Source organism: Homo sapiens, chromosome 15, assembly GCF_000001405.40.
Source record: "Homo sapiens chromosome 15, GRCh38.p14 Primary Assembly".
Classification (NCBI taxonomy): Eukaryota; Metazoa; Chordata; class Mammalia; order Primates; family Hominidae; genus Homo; species Homo sapiens.
In genome coordinates this window covers 37414949-37438186 of record NC_000015.10, presented here as the reverse complement: position 1 = coordinate 37438186, position 23238 = coordinate 37414949, and the positions used below count along the sequence as shown (strand labels likewise).

General features: G+C 35.6%; 1 long non-coding RNA gene across 1 annotated transcript in view, besides 2 other annotated features; it reads left to right on the top strand.

Moving 5' to 3' along the window:
* Positions 10116-10755: an enhancer, noted in NCBI's record as "NANOG-H3K27ac-H3K4me1 hESC enhancer chr15:37719633-37720272 (GRCh37/hg19 assembly coordinates)". NCBI's record gives its function as "activates a minimal SCP1, AML or CMV promoter by ChIP-STARR-seq in naive H9 embryonic stem cells {active_cell/tissue: H9 hESC(naive)}" and the evidence as "EXISTENCE:reporter gene assay evidence [ECO:0000049][PMID:30033119]".
* Positions 10756-11397: an enhancer, noted in NCBI's record as "NANOG-H3K27ac-H3K4me1 hESC enhancer chr15:37718991-37719632 (GRCh37/hg19 assembly coordinates)". NCBI's record gives its function as "activates a minimal SCP1, AML or CMV promoter by ChIP-STARR-seq in naive H9 embryonic stem cells {active_cell/tissue: H9 hESC(naive)}" and the evidence as "EXISTENCE:reporter gene assay evidence [ECO:0000049][PMID:30033119]".
* LOC105370772 (uncharacterized) overlaps positions 11430-23238 on the top strand; it is a 63650-nt gene continuing 51841 nt past the window's right edge. The window contains exons 1-2 of the long non-coding RNA XR_932115.3: positions 11430-11523; positions 18002-18127. This is a non-coding gene — a long non-coding RNA (uncharacterized LOC105370772). The remainder of the gene's footprint in view (positions 11524-18001; positions 18128-23238) is intronic.

The window sequence follows — 23238 nt, the reverse complement described above, 5'->3', positions numbered from 1 at the left end:
AGCTGGGTGTGGTGATGGGCACCTGTAATCCCAGCTAGTCAGGAAGCTGAGGCAGAAGAATGGCTTGAACCTGGGAGGCGGAGGTTGCAATGGGCAGAGATCATGCCACTGCACTCCAGCCTGGGCGACAGAGCAAGACTCCATCTTAAAAAATATATATATATATATAAAACTTGAATGAATGGAGAGACATGATATGCTCTTAGATGGGAAGACTTTTATATCATAATAATACAGATCTTTCTTGAATTAATATATATATTACATATGTTTATGTATTAACATCAAAATTAGGGCAGGGCAGGATTTGTTTGTTACTTTGCTTTTTGAAACACAGTTAAATTGCACAAAAGTTAAAATGGAAGAAAAATGTGTAAGATTTGCCAAGAAAACCTTATAAAAGAATAATAAGAGGGGTAGTTAGTATTTTATTAAAACAATATTCCAACCAGTAGTGAAAAAAATTATCCATCAATGGATACCGGACTATCCATGAAAAAAAAATCTACTCCTAGATATTTACCCAAGAGAATGAAAACATACATCCATACAAAGCTTTGTATGTAAATGTTTATAACAATGTATTATTTTCATAATTGCCAGGAACTGGAAACAACTCAAGTGTCCTTCAACTGAAAATGGTTAAGCAGATTGTAGTGTATCTGTACAATGGAATACTATTCAGCAATTCAAACGAACAAATTACTGATATACACACAGCAATATGGATCAGTCTCAAAAGAATTATGCTAAGTGAAAGAAGCCAGACTTAAGAGGCAACATACTATATTTTTCCATTCGTATGACTTCCTGGGAAATGCAAAACTATAGAGGAGACAGATCAGTTGTTGCCAGGGGCTAGGAGTGTAAGGAAGGTATTAAACACAAGGGATCATGAAGGAGCTTTTAGAAGTGGTGAAAATATTCTGTATTTTTATTTTGATGAAAGTTATGACTGCATAAATTTGTTAAACTTAACATTTTACTGTATATAAATTATATATAAACTTACGTTGAAAAAAAGAAATCCCTACCTCAAACCATAAACTGAAAAAATTTTAGATAGACTATAAAAATGTAGGCAGGAAGTCCTAAAGGGAGAACCTGACTCAGGAATGAAAACATTTGTTGCCAGGACCTACCTTTTCTGCAAACTGAGTCTCAGATAGGACTGATCATTAATCAATCCTCTTGCAGCTTGCTCTAGTCTCACTTCCCCAAGGGGATGAATAATTATGAGGAATGTTTTATAAGGCCTAGGCAAGGCTTTAACAATCTATAAATGTAAGAAATAATTCATCTTCAATTTAAAGAAATTTTCAAAACTATTCCACTTAGTGATAGATTCCTCAAAGTCTTAAATTTTATTTTCTGGTAATGAAACATAATTAAAATATAATTAATGTGTATATATATAAAATGTATATATATACACACACATTAATGTGTGTGTATATATATGTGTGTATATATGTGTATATGTGTATGTGTATGTGTGTGTATATATATATATATATATATATATATATATATATATATATATAGAAACTTAACCAAAAAAGTAAAGCCCAAAATAGAATATAAAAATTATCCACTATTCTATCATTACTTTTTCGGTTTCTCAAAAGGCATAAAGAATGAAATTCTTCCCCTTTCCTTGGTCCAACTCCATCCGCCAGAGGTAGTCGCTGTCATCTGCAGTTTGATGCACTTGCTATTGCAGACTTTACTTTTACTAGAAGAGACTTATCTGCTTCTGTACACATAACTATGTTAGGGTTTTTAAAATTATTTATTTTGTTTTCCAAAATATGATTATGCTATACATATTTTTCTGAAATTTGTTTTTCACTTCCTAAATATGATCAAGACATCTAAATATATATATATTTATTTTATATATATAATAAATACAAGAATAAAATTAGAATGATTTTAGAAGAATTATAGCAGAATATTTGTGGACCTTGCAGTGAGAGGATTTCTTAACTAAGATAAAAGACACAAACATAGATCTTCTGTATCTAAAAGATACAAAAGCAAAATCATTTAAGCAATTCATTAGGTGAAAATATTAAAACACATAGGATATATTAATGAAAACAAGATAAACAAAATCTGCCACCAAAAAAAGAGGAAAAGGAAAAGTAGGCAAAGCAAATAGATGACAAACACATTAAAAAATATACAAATGTGCCAAAGGTCAAGAAAATACAAATTAAAATAACAGATAACATTTTCTGGTCCTTATTGGCAAAATATATATATATATATTTATGTTGAAAACATTCAGATTAAACAGATATTTCTATAAACTTTGTGGTAGTGTATGTACTATATCAATTTAGCAAAATAATCTATGGGTTATTTAAACAAACATGTGGGCTTGATTCAGCAGTTGAACTTCTGGAAATTTATTTAACAAGTTAATTAAATTATTTGTATGATAAAACAATTATTGGAATTATTAATTACCTAGCAATTAATATTATTAATTTAATTAATTAGTAAACAAAATTGTTAATTTTACATTCATTAAAGTTTTTAAATCCATATTGGGTAAAATGAAATTCTTAATAAAGTATAAATTCAGAAAAACATACATGGAAAGATACTGTAGCATTGTTTGCATTAGCAACAAAGAAAACAAAAACAAATTAAATGTATATTATGATTATTAGGTAACCACTAAAATGAATGAGACAGAACTATATACTTTCACTTAGAAGGATGTGTACATTACATAGTTAAATAAAAATGCAAATAACTAAAGTCATGCATATGTGATTTTATTTTTTATTAAATCAGTGGAAATCTTAACTGCATATGTCGACATGGAGGATATTGTGGAGTCCTCCACTCAGATTCCTTCTTCAGGGCCATTCCGCAGTTGCTCAGATTATCAACTAATGATGGCTCTGAGTTTTATACTTTTCTGGGAACTACTTCCAAAGATTGGCCAATAAGTGACTGATGTGGGGATAAAAAATCCTAGCACCATTGCCTGTAGAGTTTATCTGTAAGTTTGACCAAAGCATCAGTTGCAACTTCATCCAAGATCAGCTTGTCCTTCTGTCCAGTGCTGCCTTCCTCACTTCCTTAAGTGGGTATCTTAGAGGTGTATTCTGAAGTGCTCACTGCAAAGACTCCACACGCAACAGCCTGTCTCAGAGTCTGTTTTTTTGAGAGCTCAATTGAAAACAACCCATGTGTCTGCACAGGTTAATAAATGCACAGGAGATAGCACCAAAAAAAGATACACAGGAAGTCATTTATACTAGATAATTAAGGGTGTAGGACTGGCACAGAAGGGCAAGTGAGAATATTTTATTTATCCTTTTATTGTTTTAATTATTAAACTTAGAGATTATTTCTTTTGTAATTTAAGTCACTGAGAAACTACTCTGTGAACCATAGTAAATTATTCCTTGTGACATGTAAGGAAGAAACAACATTCCTAACCTTTAATTCATTTTATCTGCTTTAAAAAGAAACTTGTTCAAAGTTTCTTTTAAGTCATTCAGAAAAGTAAGTCATCAGCCTTCCCAAATGGACATATTCTGCACTTTTAATTTTATGCTGGCAGAGAATGTGATCAATAAATTATTGCTGTTTGTGAAACATTTGCTTTCATGGTTCTAACATATTTTAACTCATAGGGTTACTAGAATTTTTTTTCACATTATATGACAGCTGAAATTAAACAAATCCATTCAACTACAGAGCTAAATAGAAGGTTTGCTACGTGTGTCATTAGCACCATCCGTATAAGGTAACAGAAAATATGAGGTGTGGATTTTAAAAATATGATAAAATGAGAATACTGTTAGATGCACAAGAAGGTGTGACTTCAGGCCAGGCATATTCTTATTAGAAAAAAACTGCCTCTGTTTTATTTTACTAAAATAATTGGCATTATGTGTTTTGAGTTGACATCTTTCAAATTATTTTATCAAATCAAAAATATATACCTCAGTTGAAATATATTTTAATTATGTCATTTTAATGTAGCATATGACATAAAAGATTGCTCTGGAGTAGGCTCCTAAGCATTTTTACCATTAAGAATATTATGTTAGAATGAAGAAACATAATTTATTTGGTTATATATTTTGGCCCTTAACACATTTGCAACATGTTTTTGATGCTTCAGTAGAAAACTCTTAGAAAAGTATAAAAACACATAACAATTGCTCAAAATATTTAAAGATTAACACATTAGAATATTCACATATATATATAATTTTTAATGAGCACGTGTTATTCGTAATCACAACACTTAGATTATGTGTCATCACACCCAGCAGCCTGTAATTTTGACATTGCCTTTTGTCTACTTTGCATTTATACGCATTCTTTCATTCAGAGATATTCTAAGAATAAATATACAAAGAACTAGAAAGTTGTACAGCCTATAGCTGGGAAGAGATTGGAGATTCTTCATTTCCCCTTTAAAACATATAGACCGATGTCCTCAGCGATGTTGAATGCCAATTGAGTTGCATACTTCCAACAGCATTTTCATTTCCAATCCTATTTATGCCAGTAATAGTTATTGCAATTCCATAACTAAATATATAAAATTAAATATATAAATATATTAAATATATTAAATAAAGTACAACTATGTAAAGAGAGTTTCAGTTTTTTAATAATTGAAATTATGAATGTGTAAACTAAAGACAAATTGCTTTCTACAAGATGTAATCACTGTACATTGAGGTGTGCATGAGACAACTATAGAACATTGGAACCAAAATTTGTAAGAACCTAGAATAATAATTTACTTATATTCTTTTACAAATGTTCTTGAGGATCAGTTGGATCCTCACAGAGCACCTTGCCCAGCAGTCAGTAAGTTCTCACTAAATGTAAGCTTATCTGTAAGGAGATGTGGAGAACAGTGTGAATCTGCATTCATTGCTATCCAGCAATTTGCATTTTTTCCCTCAAAAATCCCAGTTGTTTTCTTTTTTTTTTTTTTAATGGGTCAAGTAAATTTCTTTTTTTTTTCTATTATTATACTTTAAGTTTTAGGGTACATGTGCACATTGTGCAGGTTAGTTACATATGTATACATGTGCCATGCTGGTGTGCTGCACCCACTAACTCGTCATCTAGCATTAGGTATATCTCCCAAAGCTATCCCTCCCCCCTCCCCCCACCCCACAACAGTCCCCAGAGTGTGATGTTCCCCTTCCTGTGTCCATGTGATCTCATTGTTCAATTCCCACCTATGAGTGAAAATATGCGGTGTTTGGTTTTTTGTTCTTGCGATAGATTACTGAGAAAGATGATTTCCAATTTCATCCATGTCCCTACAAAGGACATGAACTCATCCTTTTTTATGGCTGCATAGTATTCCATGGTGTATATGTTGCACATTTTCTTAATCCAGTCTATCATTGTTGGACATTTGGGTTGGTTCCAAGACTTTGCTATTGTGAATAGTGCCGCAAGAAACATACATGTGCATGTGTCTTTATAGCAGCATGATTTATAGTCCTTTGGGTATATACCCAGTAATGGGATGGCTGGGTCAAATGGTATTTCTAGTTCTAGATCCCTGAGGAATCGCCACACTGACTTCCACAATGGGTGAACTAGTTTACAGTCCCACCAACAGTGTAAAAGTGTTCCTATTTCTCCACATCCTCTCCAGCACCTGTTGTTTCCTGACTTTTTAATGATTGCCATTCTAACTGGTGTGAGATGGTATCTCATTGTGGTTTTGATTTGCATTTCTCTGATGGCCAGTGATGGTGAGCATTTTTTCATGTGTTTTTTGGCTGCATAAATGTCTTCTTTTGAGAAGTCTCTGTTCATGTCCTTTGCCCACTTTTTGATGGGGTTGTTTGTTTTTTTCTTGTAAATTTGTTTGGGTTCATTGTAGATTCTGGGTATTAGCCCTTTGTCAGATGAGTAGGTTGCGAAAATTTTCTCCCATTTTGTAGGTTGCCTGTTCACTCTGATGGTAGTTTCTTTTGCTGTGCAGAAGCTCTTTAGTTTAATTAGATCCCATTTGTCAATTTTGGCTTTTGTTGCCATTGCTTTTGGTGTTTTAGACATGAAGTCCTTGCCCATGCCTATGTCCTGAATGGTATTGCCTAGGTTTTCTTCTAGGGTTTTTATGGTTTTAGGTGTAACGTTTAAGTCTTTAATCCATCTTGAATTGATTTTTGTATAAGGTGTAAGGAAGGGATCCAGTTTTAGCTTTCTACATATGGCTAGCCAGTTTTCCCAGCACCATTTATTAAATAGGGAATCCTTTCCCCATTGCTTGTTTTTCTCAGGTTTGTCAAAGATCAGATAGTTGTAGATATGCGGCGTTATTTCTGAGGGCTCTGTTCTGTTCCATTGATCTATATCTCTGTTTTGGTACCAGTACCATGCTGTTATGGTTACTGTAGCCTTGTAGTATAGCTTGAAGTCAGGTAGTGTGATGCCTCCAGCTTTGTTCTTTTGGCTTAGGATTGACTTGGCAATGCAGGCTCTTTTTTGGTTCCATATGAACTTTAAAATAGTTTTTTCCAATTCTGTGAAGAAAGGCATTGGTAGCTTGATGGAGATGGCATTGAATCTGTAAATTACCTTGGGCAGTATGGCCATTTTCACAATATTGATTCTTCCTACCCATGAGCATGGAATGTTCTTCCATTTGTTTGTATCCTCTTTTATTTCCTTGAGCAGTGGTTTGTAGTTCTCCTTGAAGAAGTCCTTCACATCCCTTGTAAGTTGGATTCCTAGGTATTTTATTCTCTTTGAAGCAATTGTGAATGGGAGTTCACTCATGATTTGGCTCTCTGTTTGTCTGTTGTTGGTGTATAAGAATGCTTGTGATTTTTGTACATTGATTTTGTATCCTGAGACTTTGCTGAAGTTGCTTATCAGCTTAAGGAGATTTCGGGCTGAGACACTGGGGTTTTCTAGATATACAATCATGTCGTCTGCAAACAGGGACAGTTTGACTTCCTCTTTTCCTAATTGAATACCCTTTATTTCCTCCTCCTGCCTAATTGCCCTGGCCAGAACTTCCAACACTATGTTGAATAGGAGTGGTGAGAGAGGGCATCCCTGTCTTGTGCCAGTTTTCAAAGGGAATGCTTCAGTTTTTGCCCATTCAGTATGATATTGGCTGTGGGTTTGTCATAGATAGCTCTTATTATTTTGAAATACGTCCCATCAATACCTAATTTATTGAGAGTTTTTAGCATGAAGGGTTGTTGAAATTTGTCAAAGGCTTTTTCTGCATCTATTGAGATAATCATGTGGTTTTTGTCTTTGGTTCTGTTTATATGCTGGATTACATTTATTGATTTGCATATATTGAACCAGCCTTGCATCCCAGGGATGAAGCCCACTTGATCATGGTGGATAAGCTTTTTGATGTGCTGCTGGATTCGTTTTGCCAGTATTTTATTGAGGATTTTTGTATCAATGTTCATCAAGGATATTGGTCTAAAATTCTCTTTTTTTGTTGTGTCTCTGCCAGGCTTTGGTATCAGAATGATGCTGGCCTCATAAAATGAGTTAGGGAGGATTCCCTCTTTTTCTATTGATTGGAATAGTTTCAGAAGGAATGGTACCAGTTCCTCCTTGTACCTCTGGTAGAATTCGGCTGTGAATCCATCTGGTCCTGGACTCTTTTTGGTTGGTAAGCTATTGATTATTGCCACAATTTCAGATCCTGTTATTGATCTATTCAGAGATTCAACTTCTTCCTGGTTTAGTCTTGGGAGAGTGTATGTGTCGAGGAATTTATCCATTTCTTCTAGATTTTCTAGTTTATTTGCATAGAGGTGTTTGTAGTATTCTCTGATGGTAGTTTGTATTTCTGTGGGATCGGTGGTGATATCCCCTTTATCATTTTTTATTGCGTCTATTTGATTCTTCTCTCTTTTTTTCTTTATTAGTCTTGCTAGCGGTCTATCAATTTTGTTGATCCTTTCAAAAAACCAGCTCCTGGATTCATTAATTTTTTGAAGGGTTTTTTGTGTCTCTATTTCCTTCAGTTCTGCTCTGATTTTAGTTATTTCTTGCCTTCTGCTAGCTTTTGAATGTGTTTGCTCTTGCTTTTCTAATTCTTTTAATTGTGATGTTAGGGTGTCAATTTTGGATCTTTCCTGCTTTCTCTTGTGGGCATTTAGTGCTGTAAATTTCCCTCTACACACTGCTTTGAATGCGTCCCAGAGATTCTGGTATGTTGTGTCTTTGTTCTCGTTGGTTTCAAAGAACATCTTTATTTGTGCCTTCATGTCGTTATGTACCCAGTAGTCATTCAGGAGCAGGTTGTTCAGTTTCCATGTAGTTGAGGGGCTTTGAGTGAGATTCTTAATCCTGAGTTCTAGTTTGATTGCACTGTGGTCTGAGAGATAGTTTGTTATAATTTCTGTTCTTTTACATTTGCTGAGGACAGCTTTACTTCCAACTATGTGGTCAATTTTGGAATAGGTGTGGTGTGGTGCTGAAAAAAATGTATATTCTGTTGATTTTGGGTGGAGAGTTCTGTAGATGCCTATTAGGTCCGCTTGGTGCAGAGCTGAGTTCAATTCCTGGGTATCCTTGTTGACTTTCTGTCTCATTGATCTGTCTAATGTTGACAGTGGGGCGTTAAAGTCTCCCATTATTAATGTGTGGGACTCTAAGTCTCTTTGTAGGTCACTCAGGACTTGCTTTATGAATCTGGGTGTTCCTGTATTGGGTGCATATATATTTAGGATAGTTAGCTCTTCTTGTTGAGTTGATCCCTTTACCATTATGTAATAGCCTTCTTTGTCTCTTTTGATCTTTGTTGGTTTAAAGTCTGTTTTATCAGAGACTAGGATTGCAACCCCTGCCTTTTTTTTGTTTTCCATGTGCTTGGGAGATCTTCCTCCATCCTTTTATTTTGAGCCTATGTGTGTCTCTGCCTGTGAGATGGGTTTCCTGAATACAGCACACTGATGGGTCTTGACTCTTTATCCAATTTGCCAGTCTGTGTCTTTTAATTGGAGCATTTAGTCCATTTCCATTTAAAGTTAATATTGTTATGTGTGAATTTGATCCTGTCATGATGATGTTAGCTGGCTATTTTGCTCGTTAGTTGATGCAGTTTCTTCCTAGTCTCAATGGTCTTTACATTTTGGCATGGTTTTGCAGCGGCTGGTACCGGTTGTTCCTTTCCATGTTTAGTGCTTCCTTCGGGAGCTCTTTTAGGGCAGGCCTGGTGGTGACAAAATCTCTCAGCATTTGCTTGTCTCTAAAGTATTTTATTTCTCCTTCACTTATGAAGCTTAGTTTGGCTGGATATGAAATTCTGGGTTGAAAATTCTTTTCTTTAAGAATGTTGAATATTGGCCCCCACTCTCTTCTGGCTTGTAGGGTTTCTGCCAAGAGATCCGCTGTTAGTCTGATGGGCTTCCCTTTGCGGGTAACCCGACCTTTCTCTCTGGCTGCCCTTAACATTTTTTCCTTCATTTCAACTTTGGTGAATCTGACAATTATGTGTCTTGGAGTTGCTCTTCTGGAGGAGTATCTTTGTGGTGTTCTCTGTATTTCCTGAATCTGAATGTTGGCCTGCCTTGCTAGATTGGGGAAGTTCTCCTGGATAATATCCTGCAGAGTGTTTTCCAACTTGGTTCCATTTCCCCATCACTTTCAGGTACACCAATCAGACGTAGATTTGGTCTTTTCACATAGTCCCATATTTCTTGGAGGCTTTGCTCATTTCTTTTTATTCTTTTTTCTCTAAACTTCCCTTCTCACTTCATTTCATTCATTTCATCTTCCATTGCTGATACCCTTTCTTCCAGTTGATCGCATCGGCTCCTGAGGCTTCTGCATTCTTCATGTAGTTCTCGAGCCTTGGTTTTCAGCTCCATCAGCTCCTTTAAGCACTTCTCTGTATTGGTTATTCTAGTTATACATTCTTCTAAATTTTTTTCAAAGTTTTCAACTTCTTTGCCTTTGGTTTGAATGTCCTCCCATAGCTCAGAGTAATTTGATCGTCTGAAGCCTTCTTCTCTCAGCTCGTCAAAGTCATTCTCCATCCAGCTTTGTTCCGTTGCTGGTGAGGAACTGCATTCCTTTGGAGGAGGAGAGGTGCTCTGCTTTTTATAGTTTCCAGTTTTTCTGTTCTGTTTTTTCCCCATCTTTGTGGTTTTATCTACTTTTGGTCTTCGATGATGGTGATGTACAGATGGGTTTTTGGTGTGGATGTCCTTTCTGTTTTTTAGTTTTCCTTCTAACAGACAGGACCCTCAGCTGGAGGTCTGTTGGAGTACCCTGCCGTGTGAGATGTCAGTGTGCCCCTGCTGGGGGGTGCCTCCCAGTTAGGCTGCTCAGGGGTCAGGGGTCAGGGACCCACTTGAGGAGGCAGTCTGCCCGTTCTCAGATCTCCAGCTGCGTACTGGGAGAACCACTGCTCTCTTCAAAGCTGTCAGACAGGGACATTTAAGTCTGCAGAGGTTACTGCTGTCTTTTTGTTTGTCTGTGCCCTGCCCCCACAGGTGGAGCCTACAGAGGCAGGCAGGCCTCCTTGAGCTGTGGTGGGCTCCACCCAGTTCGAGCTTCCCGTGTTTACCTAAGCAAGCCTGGGCAATGGCAGGCGCCCCTCCCCCAGCCTCGCTGGGGCCTTGCAGTTTGATCTCGGACTGCTGTGCTAGCAATCAGTGAGACTCCATGGGCATAGGACCCTCTGAGCCAGGTGCGGGATAGAATCTTGTGGTGAGCGGTTTTTTAAGCCCGTCGGAAAAGTGCAGTATTCGGGTGGGAGTGACCCGATTTTCCAGGTGCCGTCAGTCACCCCTTTCTTTGACTAGGAAAGGGAACTCCCTGACCCCTTGCGCTTCCCGAGTGAGGCAATGCCTCACCCTGCTTCAGCTTGCGCACGGTGCGCACACCCACTGACCTGCGCCCACTGTCTGGCACTCCCTAGTGAGATGAACCCGGTACCTCAGATGGAAATGCAGAAATCACCCGTCTTCTGCGTCGCTCACGCTGGGAGCTGTAGACCGGAGCTGTTCCTATTCGGCCATCTTGGCTCCTCCCCCCATAAAAGCAAAAATCCCAGTTGTTTTCTAAAAAATAAAGGACTACATATGCAGTGACTAAATTTAATATAATTTTATTGTTATTAGTATTGAAACTATGAGGTGTTGAACCTTCACACTTTAAAAACTAAGAGCAGAAAATATAAAAATATAATCTGTGAACCAAACACATTCTAAATATATGCTACATTTCTTTTCATAATTCATAATACCTCAAAAAATTCTAAGATATGCCCCCTGATTATGTATGTAGATTAATGGCATAATACAGCTGAAATTAGGAAGCAATTGTAAAATCCGGTTTTATTATGACCATCTTTGATGTAAACAAAATTTTGAGGATTACTGAAGTCACAAAACTCTGTCCTAAATCATTTTTTTTTTTAAATCATAGATTCAAGGGGTACATGTACAGTTTTGTTACACTGCATATTGATGAAGTCTGGACTTTTAGTGTACCCATCACCCAAGTTATGAACATTGTACCCAAGAGGTAATTTTTCTACTCTCTCTCCCTGCTTTTGGAGTCTCCAGTGTCTATTATTTCTCTCTATATGTTCATGTTTACCCATTGTTTAGCTCCCACTTATAAGTGAGAACATGCAGTGTTTGATTTTCTGTTTCTGAGTTATTTCCCTCAGAATAATGGCCTCCAGCTTGATCTATGCTACTGAAAAAGGGATGATTGTATTCATTTTCATGGATGCATAGTATTCTGTGGTGTATATATTCCACATTTTCTTTATCCAGTCATCCATTGATGGACACTAAGGTTGATTCCATATCTTGCTAATGTGACTAGTGCTGCAATTAACATTCAAGTACAGGTGTCTTTTTGATATAATGATTTAAATAGATTATTTATTTATTAATTTAAAATAAATGATGTATTATCCTTTGAGTAGATACACAATAATGGGATTTCTTTGTTGAATGGTGGTACTATTTTTAGTTTTTTGAGAAATCTCCATACGGTTTTTTATGAAGGTTGAACTAATTTACATTCTCACCAACAATGTACAAGCATTCCCTTTTCCCTGCATCCTCACTAACATCTGTTATTTTTTTGACTTTTTAATAATAGCCATTCTGACCCATGTGAGATGGTATTTCATTGTGGTTTTGATTTGCATTTTTCTGAAAATTAATTATGTTGAGCATTTTTCATGTTTGTTGGCTGCTTGTATGTTAAATCATTCTTTTTTACTTAAAACAAACATATTTTAAACCCATTTATGTGCACATGTTTTTTTTTTCCTTTCAGAAAGAGTAAGAGATGATAAGCCCTTAAGTTATACACTATGACTTGTTTTAAAAAAGAAATTTCAAAAAGGATAGGAAATACTTTAGGCACCCAGTGAGTGTATGCATATTTGAAATGGTACTCATTTATAAAATGTGTGGTTCACTATAGTCACCCCCTTTACAAAAAAAAAACCAAGTGTTGGCCAGGCATGGTGACTCATGCTTGTAGTCCCAGCACCTTGGGGCTGAGGCAGGAAGATCATTTGAGCCCAGGAGTTCCAGGCTTCAGGGAGCTGTGATTGTGCCACCCCGTTTCAGCCTAGGCAAACAAATGAGACACTGTCTCTAAAAAATACTCTTTATTAAAAAAATCATGGAATTTCCAATTCAATTTCAAATGTCAGTGAAATGTTTCCTCTTTCCAGATTGGCCAACGGTGTTTGCATCACTTAGGTAACAACTCTAAATACTTCCAGCATTGTTTTCACTATGGCTGGAGAATAATTTTTATGCATATACATCAAAGGAAAAATTGAGTCCTAGAAATCACCAGGAAGAGTCTTTTGGATTTTAAACTTACCATTTCTACTATATATCACATACAATGATTTTAAATTTTTTTAGTGAAAAAATGTTATTAAGTCTGTGCAGTTTGGCATCAAGGAAATGAATATCATCTTTCTGTTTGGTAATGTAGTTTCTTCTTATTAGTCTTTACTCAGTATATGCTAAGGCAATTATTCTTGTTGATACCACCTGCTGTATGCAATAGAAAAACTGTATATTCCTTATGTGGAACCAGATAATCCTAAATTTAGACCACCTGTAGATTCTTAGGAATAAAGAACCTGTATGGGAATGTGAACTAGTACAACTGCTGTGGAAAACAGTGTGGAGATTCCTTAAATAACTAAAAGTAGATCTACCATTTGATCTACCAATCCCACTCCTGGGTATCTACCCAGAGGAAAATAAATTATTAATGAAAAAGATACTTGCACACATGTTTATAACAGCACAGTTTGCAATTGCAAAAATATGGAACCAGCCCAAATGCCAATCAATCAATGAGTGGATAAAGAAAAAGTGATATATAAATACATACACACACACACACACACACACACACACACACACACACACACACACACCATGGAATACTACTCAGCCGTAAAAAGAAGTGAAATAATGACATCAGCAGCAACCTGGATGGAATTGAAGACTATTATTCTAAGGGAAGTCGCTAAGGAATGGAAAGCCAAACATCATGTATTCTCACTCATAAGTGGGAGCTAAGCTATGAGGATGCAAAGACATAAGAATAATACAATGGACTTTGGGGACTCAGGGGAAAGGGCAGGAGAGGGGTGAGAGATGGTGAGAGATGGGTGCACCAAAATCTCAGAAATCATCACTAAAAAACTTATCCTTGTAATGAAACACTACCTGTTCCCCCAAAACCTATTGAAATAAAAAATAAAAATTAAAAAAAGGAATAAAGGTCCTATAACCAGTTAGATCATTATTTAGTAAAATTTCCTGATTTAACTGATTCTAACAATTAGCTTAACACAAAATATTATAAAAGAATAAATTTTCTTTAAAAAGAGTTTTGTTTGAAGAAAAAAGGGAACCTTAATATAGCTGATAGGATTTTTTTCAGATTGTACAATGTTGATTAAATAACACAAATTTCCACAGTTTTTTGTCTCTATTATTAAATCAAGCAGCTACAAAAATATAGTATTCTTATTCTCCTTATTCTCTAATCTCCAAGCATGATAGAAAGAAGAAAGATAGTTTAGCAATAAAAAATTATTTTCTCTAAGTAAACATCAAGATTATTCAACTCAATAGACTCATTTTCCTGGCCAAAATTAATAGTGATAACTGATAATAACCTTGAAGAATAGCATACAACCTTTCTTCTCTATGAGCTCTATTAAACTGGGAAAAATACAAATATATTCACATCCATCATTTCTGATTACATTATTTGAAAGCCTGGTTTATAGAAGGGAAAACTGTAGAAAAGAACTTCGCTTATTATTGCTTTACAAACAGTATAGATAAATCTAAAAAAAAAAATTCTATAAGACTTTGAAGCATAAAGATATTTCAAATTTTTAAAAAATTTAATTAAGAATTCTTTTCTCAAAATACCCATTTCATTTTAATATTGTACCCTCTTGCAAACCATACCTGATAGTATCGAGTGGAGGCCATTACACAAATCCATTATGCTAAAAGGAATTGGCCTAATCTGTCTTTCTCAAGCAACTGACCTCTAGGGCACTGTGAACTTTTGTCAGGGAGATTAGCATGCTCTCTCGCTCTCTGTCTCTCTGTCTCTCTCTCTGTCTCTCTCTCTCTCTCTCTCGAGATGGGGTCTTTGTTGCCCAAGCTAGTCTCGAACTCCTGGCTTCAAGTGATCCTCCCTGTTCAGCCTCACAAAGTGTTGAGATTACAGGCATAAGCCACTGCACCCAGCTTTCTGAAGTGAAAATATTTGACATCCAAAAAGACTAGTTTCCTGAATGGGTTAGAGGGGATGTTCAAGGCAGATGGGAATAACACAAATATCTTAACATGGTCATGGCTGGAATGTGATGATGGAGTCAAGAATTTGTCATCCATAGTTTACTATGGGAAGAAAGTATAAAATCGCTATCTGTATGTTCTCCTCATTATCAGAATATTGGCAACGTCACAAGTTATGCTGTTCATATTCCTTCCTCTGATGTCACAGAAAGACTCACTATACCTTGTCAAATCGGGTTTGGAAGCCAGGCTTTAGATACTGTCACCACTGCCACTGTCACACTTTACAGTCAAATACTATCACCACTGCCACTATCACATCTTACAGTCAAAGAGACCTTCCTAATTTTAAAAGTGCTATACCTGGAGTAAACATATGATCCTGTTTGCCACAGGTGGTCCTGGTTTATAGATATTGTACCAGTATAATTAACAATATCTCCCTCCTGCAGTCTCAAAATTGTCCTGGTTTAGATGATGAAATTATTTAGTCACACTAACTTAAGCATTCATTCACACCGTCAGTCTATGAACTCCATGGATCTATCAGAAAAATGACATGGATTTTACATAACAGATGAGAAAACTGAGGCCTTGAGAGAGTTATTGAACCTAAACTAGGACTTTTGGCTCATTTATCATGACTTTTTCCTCTCTACATACTAAGTGTACAGAGCTGGGTCCAGAGTGCTTCAGGAACTACCACTCAGGCAGAAGAGCTGCTGTCCTGATGTCTTGTAATATACTTAAAATAAGTTTATTCTCCATAGAGTAGTTAGAGATTGCCCCCGAATTCTTATTTGTTGTGTGTGTGTGTGTGTGTGTGTGTGTGTGTGTGTGTGTGTGTGTGTGTGTGTGTGTGAGAGAGAGAGAGAGAGAGAGAGAAAGAGAGAGATTGGTCAGATCCTTACGGGCCAAAGAGAATCTGATAACAGCCCACGCTGCCAGCCTTCTGAATTTCACAATGCCACGAAATAGCCTCAAGAACTCCCAGATGTACTGGCAGCTCTTCTGAACGCTGTACCCCTAGGTGCCTGATTCCTGGATCTAGCCAATAGGAGCTATACTAATCCTGCCCCACCAAGTTTATGACACATATTGTCACCCCAAAAAATGCCAAGTACAGAATTAGGTAACAATAGTTTCTCTATGTGCACAGTCTTATGCAGTGAAAGCTTTATAATCACAGGATCTTGCCTTTCCCCCAAGTTTTGCCCATTTTCCTTCTGTTTTAGAAAATGAGTGTTTACTATCATGGTTTAAACAATTGCAAGATAAAAGCAAATGTTAAACAATAATTCAGCAATTTTGAATTTGCCTAGGAGGAGATATTTTAATTTGCTGTTTTTTTAGAGTTGATGCTATTTCACAATTAAAAATAATTTCAAAAGTAATAGCACAGCTTAAAAGAAGAAAGATTACAAAAATAATTTATTATGAAACAAGTAGATGCATTTGAAAAGAAAAAAGCGTTTAATTACATCTTAGTATATTTGCAGTGATTCATGATGGCTATTTACATCAAATGATTTTTTAAATATTAAATATTAATTCCATTTAAATGCAATAAGTTGTATGGAGAATTTTCATCTTTATTTCAGAGCCATGCTACTTTAAAATTCGTCATTAGAGCTAATAAGAAATTATATTGGAACTACTCTGTACATTTAAATGAAGCATAAATCAATTATTGAAGCAAGGAATTTTTTCATCATTATAATGATTATTGGAATAAATTTAGTTCTTCAATGCTGCCTAATGATATCTTCAATAACAAAAATTTGCATAGACTTAATTTTTACTAGGAACTCTTTAAATGTGCTTACAATGTCTTTTTTCAGGAAAAAATATTTTAAAAAATTATCATGCAGTATTGGAGTGCTCTAAATGCCAGATTTAGTTATCCTCAATACGCTGGAAACCAAAATTAGATTCAGAATCAATACACTGTACTATCCATTTAACATCTAGTACACCAAACACTAACAACATTTATAAAAGAGTAACAGACTCAGAAAGGTTAAGCTGGTTAAACCGATCAATATACCAAAGCAGTATTACAGAAAGTAGAATTTTGTATATCAGTGGCTTCCTCAGTTGTGATGCACAGAAGCTATTTCTCTTTTAGAAGAATATCATTTGGAATTTCTTTTGAAATTCACATGAAAGTTCCTTTAGTGAGGCATGAAGCACAGGCACCTGCTGGCAGTATCATACACTTTGAACATCTCACCTTTTGTGGAGAACAAAACAGGGCAAATATAAGATATGTGTTTGCTGCCTTGCTGATTAAATCCTGGTGTAAATTAGTAGAATTATGTAATCATCACTTATTATTATTGTTAAGTGCACACTACATGCCAAGAATTTGGAAAAAAAAAACTTCATATGCATTACCTTATTTGGTCCTTAAAATCGTCTTTCTCATCTTCCTGATGAGGAAGCAGACAGAGAGTAAATGTCACTGGTCAGGGTTCCACCGGCCATGCCAGAACCCCCATTTGGTCTATCTGATGCCAAAGACCTAACTAACTCTACACAAGTGTGTCATAGTTTAATCTGCAGCAATCCCAGGAACTCAAGACTCTCTGAATCAACAAAACGATAAAATTAAGTGATGAAGATTTGTCATTAGGTCTCCCTACACACACAGGTATACACTATTTAGATTAATCAATAGAAACAGGACCCTAAAAAGTTCTGAACATTGATCTACACATGAAAATTTTGAAATACACCCCCAAAATGATACTTTGTTAACTATAACTTCGAATCCAGGCACTGCAAGATAATAACAGGTGTTCTGTAGATCTGGCCATCAGAAGGTGATGTGTTCCCCTCAGTGACTAATCCACTGCACTCCATGCAGATCCATGTTACTCCCTTCTAAGGCAGGAGTGATCCCAGTGGAATCTTGATACCTTGATAGAGCTGATCAGTTACAAATTGAGTCACTAATAATACCTAACATACTGATGCTTGAAAACAGCCAGAAAGATAGATTAGATAGATAGATAGACAGATGAGATAGAGAGATAGTTTATTACTTAAAAATACAACTTTCATGTCAATATGCTTTCTTAATGTGAAGAAAGGGGTTGAGTTTCAGCTAACCTTTAGGGAATTTCCTTATCAAGAGTCCATCAATAATGTTAGTTTTATTGTATGTGTGTTTTCTGCACCAGAAAAAAAGGTTTACCACAGTGGCTCAAGGAAAACGGAACCAGAGTAAGACAGTTTCTACTTGGACTTGGGGAACCAGCAAACTCATTCACTTACAATCAAGAACAAACCGATTAAATTGAATAAAGGTAGGTTATATTATGTTTATATTTATTCATTATATTATATTGTTTAGAGATGTTATGATTTACATTTCAAATTACTGCTTTATTGACTATGACTGCAAAGACTAAGACTTTTTTGGTGTATATAGAAAATTGTCTGAGCTCACATGCTCCTAAGAAATCCAATTCATGAATACACAGTAATCTATAGGAATACATTTATGTTGATGGGAATAAATCTGGATAACCTAAAAGGGAATAATATATTGTATACGATTATATTAATCTTGGGGTTTTTTTTTTGCTAACTCCTAGGAGGTACATGATTACACTTTCAGTAACAAAATTCTCTGTAAATGTGCTTAAATACAGAAGTACTTAATGACAATTTTTAGGTATATCATACTTCACTCAGCTATCAGTATTTTATATTAATAAATTGTATAAAGAAGCTAAGCAGACAAAAAAACTGATGTAAACATTTTCTGTATAATCCTTTTTCTACTTAGAATCTGGCAAATCTAGCTACTATGGTTTGGCTTAGTGTCCCCACCCAAATCTCATGTCGAATGTGCTGGAGAAGGAGCCTGGTGGGAGGTGATTGGATCATGGGGGTGAATTTCCTCCTTGCTGTTCTCATGAATGTGAGTAAGTTCTCACGACATCTGATGGTTTAACAATGTGTGGCACTTCCCCCTGCTCTCTTTCTCTCTCTCCCCTGCCACCATGTAAAGAAGGTCCTTGTTTCCCCTTCACCTTCCACCATGATTGTAAGTTTCCTGAGGCCTCTCAGTCATGCTTCCTGTTAAGCCTGTGGAACGGTGAGTCAATTAAATATCTTTTCTTCATAAATTACCCAGTCTCAGGTATTTATTTACAGCAGTATGAGAATGGACTAAGACATTAGCCAAGTCCAATACTCTGAGATACAAAATTAAGCATGTGAGCACCAAGGCAGGAGTCAGAAGTCTGAACCCAAGCGTGACTCCGCCACTTATTAGCTGAGTAACCTTTAGAAATTCTCTTGATTTTTCTGGTTCTTAGTGTTATAATCTGTGCAAAAAGGGGGTTTAAAAATATACTTATGTGCTAAAATTATTGATAAGGACTTTAAATTTTCAATTAAGTAATGCGGAATTATTCAGGAAATGTTTGAATGATTATTTATAAAAATATATTTGATAGATTTCTTTGTCTTCCATTTTTTACCCCCAACCAAATTTTTTCCTCTTGATAAAGACTATAGAGAGTGGATATATATTGAATTATATCAGTACATTTATACAACACAGAAATTCTGCAAGGGAAGTCATTATCATCATATCCATTTCATAGAGAAAAGCAATGAGGCCTAACACTACTGACATTCCAGGAGTTAAGCAGTTTTATAAAGACAATATGGGAATTAATATTTAAGTGCTTCCTAAGTTTTACCCCTATGGAAGTGTGTTACTTTTCCATTGGTTATTCATGTCTATGTCCTTCACATGACCATGAACCCTGTGAGGGACATTTTAAAATTTCTCCCAGCATTTGTCTCAATGCTTGGGGCATCACGGTTACTATGATTAAAGTTTGTGTAACTTGTTAGACATTGTTTTTGATACAAGGAAATATCAGCAGTGACCTGTGATCTGCAGACCTCTTCTGTCTTAAGAGCACAGCTGCCCAGTGGTTACACTAGCTTTGGACATTGAGTGGGCAACAGCAGGACAGATGGGAGCAATATGGGAAAAGAAGCTCAAAATTATGAGCTATCTGTGCTATTATATTTCCTCATTGCTATTAATTTCCTTCCCTAATCCATTGAGTTAGCAATCTTAGATGCTGTTGGCCACCCGTTTACAGTTTTCCTGAGGGCTTATCACTCAGTTTCTTTTTCCATGAGAACAGCATATTATCTCAAGTGGAGATCTTGTTTGCTTTTTCAAGTTCTTCCTTGCACTGAGCTCACCCACTGTCCTAGTTCTGCTGTCTACTCTTTGTATTTTCTGCATGCCATTGTCATGCAGCAGCAGGATTTTAGGAATTTCTAAACTTAAAAATCCCCAACATTACAAGGCGGATTTTTACAAATAAGTTCGTTATGATATAATAGTCACTACAGATAATAGATTCACAGAGGCCCTTTTGTGTTAATTCCTTTCTGCTCTCAAATGTAAGAAACATCAGCTGGGGCTGGTTTTAGAATTATTATCCCACCGCTTACTGATGAAGAGTTTGGCAACTTATTTACAGTATCAGTGCGTAATGAGCTAATATGTATGAAAATGTGTAGTGTAGTGTTTGGCACATGATCGATTTCCTTCTTTCCTAGTCACAGGATTGTCACTTAGATTTTGCTCCATCCTATGAATATTACCCACTGTTTATCTAAACATTTAAAAAAATGTTTGTATCTTTCCAGATTTTGATAATGGCTAGAAACCACATTTATAAAGTTTTCCATCTATTGATTTGTCATACTTACATTTATTTTCTGTGAATTTAATCTTTTACATTAGTGTCAAATCATCAAGCACCTTCTAGTTCTATTATAAGGATTTGTCCATATTATCAAAGCTAGTCATACATTACAGATCAACTCTGCTACTAACGATAACCAAGATTTTGAGTTCTAATCCTGATAAAAATAATAAAATATAGTAAGACATACAAACACATTGAAAAATTGTAAAGTGTGATACATTACAAAGTTTCACACTACAACTTAACTGGCATGGTAGAGACGGGACATTGTAGTATAATTTAAATTTCAATTATTTGAAGACCAACCAATTTATGTGGATAAATTGCTTTAGAAAGGGACACTACTGGTAAGAGTGGGATTTTGTCTCCTAGACAATTTCACTATAACTCTTAGTATGTTAGGCAATTTCTTGGTTATAGTAATTTAGAAAAATAGCAAGTGCCCAATAGTGAAACCAAAATTTCAACATTGATGTTTTTGAAAGACGTCTCATAAGAACACAGTGAACATAAAGCTAGATATATTGTAGATCCAAAGAATTTGCTGCCTCTTTTCTACTCATTCTCCTGCTCTTGGTGTGACTGTATTTTTTTTTATTTTTATCATTCAACCTCACCTATATGTATAATCCCCACTCTCTGGGCTGAGAATCCATTCTGCTCTGCAAAGTTCACCCATGCCTAGTAAGAGATATGCTCAGTAAAAAACATTGTGTGTCACTTGTTCCCATGCAATATTGTTTACAAACAGAAAAATCCCATGAATCAAATTACCAAAAGATCAAGTGTGTAGTGAAAAATAAGAATTCTCCTTTCTGATATCCAAAGGCAGGCAGTAGGAAATATAAAGGTTGTACATAAAAAAATACAAAGTACTTGGAAGCATGAGATATTTCACAAATCTGTTTCTGTTACCATCTCTATATTTTTAAATAGCTACATTTTTTATGAAGTCATTCTTAGAGACACGCTCATGAGAAATACTCTTTGTTTTTCGTATTCAAATGGGAATTATTTTTTCCTCCACAGGACACAACCATTTATTGTCTTTGCAATAATCAGATATCCGACAAATTCTTTGGGCCCATTGCACAGATGTAGGCAGTAAAACATTGAAAGACTGTAACTAGGTCAGGCTCAGAGGTGATGCTAGTTACTGAAATTCACTTTTATAATTCCCTATTTTATGAAATAAGTCTTTGGGACAAGGCTTCTTGATGTGGCATATATCATATCGCACTGTTTTGACAGGAAGAGAAACATATCTAAATTAAATCATTGCCATAGTCAAACCTGCTAGAAATGCTTTGTCAGCAATGACAAAGTTTTCATATTTGATTTAAGTTATAAAATTGCAGAATTTCAAGCTGAAAGGGACCACAGAGATAATGTAATCCACCTCATCATTTCCCAAATGAGGAGACTGATTCACAAAGAAGTGATGCAAATTACCCAAGTAGATACTGTAAATATTGTAAATATTCTACACAAACCCATCATTTTATACATGGTTAAAGTGACATAATTTTATACATGGGTAAGCCAGAGAGAATAAGTGACTCCTTCAATGCTGCCTGAGTGATTAGTAGGCAAAAGAATCTAGATCTCCAGAATATTAGTCTTAGGCTTTTATTTAAATGTTTATTTCCTTTGTGCCAGGTAATTTACCAAGTACCTTACGAACATTATCTCCATTAATCCTCATAAAAACACTATGGTAAGTACTATTATTATTCAAGAAGGAACCTGAGACTTATTGAAATTAAATGACTTCCGTGGATCAGAGCCAGGACTCAAAGCCACGTCTGTCTTAATAGAAAGCTCTCAACCAGCATGCCCAAATAAAATAAAATGTGAGCTACATATGTGATTTTTAAAATATTTTGTTTTAAGCACATTTTAAAAAGTAAAAAAAGAAACAAGTGAAAATTTCATTTTAATAATATATTTCATTTAATCCAGTATATCTAAAATATTATTTCAGCATACATTCAATATAAAAAATTATTATATCACATTCTTTTCTTTGAACTCTTTGCTTATGTTACATCTCAATTTAAACAAACCACATTTCAAGTGTTCAGTAGGCAGATCTGGTTAGTAGCTACCATATTGGACAGTGTAACCCTAGATGATTATGTTCAGTTGTCCATAAACTCTAGTTTAACTACATGAATGTTGACGCAACTTCAGAACAAATTATCAATCAGACTTTATTTTGTTATATTTAGCTCTTGCCTGGATATCACATTCAACATTGCACTACCTGGTCCAAGGCAGATCACACTAATCTGTGATCTCTTGCCTGCATCTCCCAATGAACTATTTTCATTGTTACTGTATGTACAATGAAAGGCCACCAGGAAAAAACAAAAACAAAAACTTGACCTAAGGCTCAGACATTCTCTATCCTCACAGCGCAGAATCCCATCCCAAGAAAAGCCTCTATGAAGTAAGTGCCATATCCAAAGGAATCAGTTCAGTATCAATTACTCAAGAAATTCAAAAATACTGATAGTTCAACATACCTTAATTCTGGTGGCTCTGCTCTCAAAGTGCCCCTTTTACCAGGAAACAAGCAGTAGATATGTTTTGACTCGGATGGTTTTCCAACTTTGGAAGATGTTGCAACCCATTTAGATGAAGGGGGAGGGGCTCAGCATTAA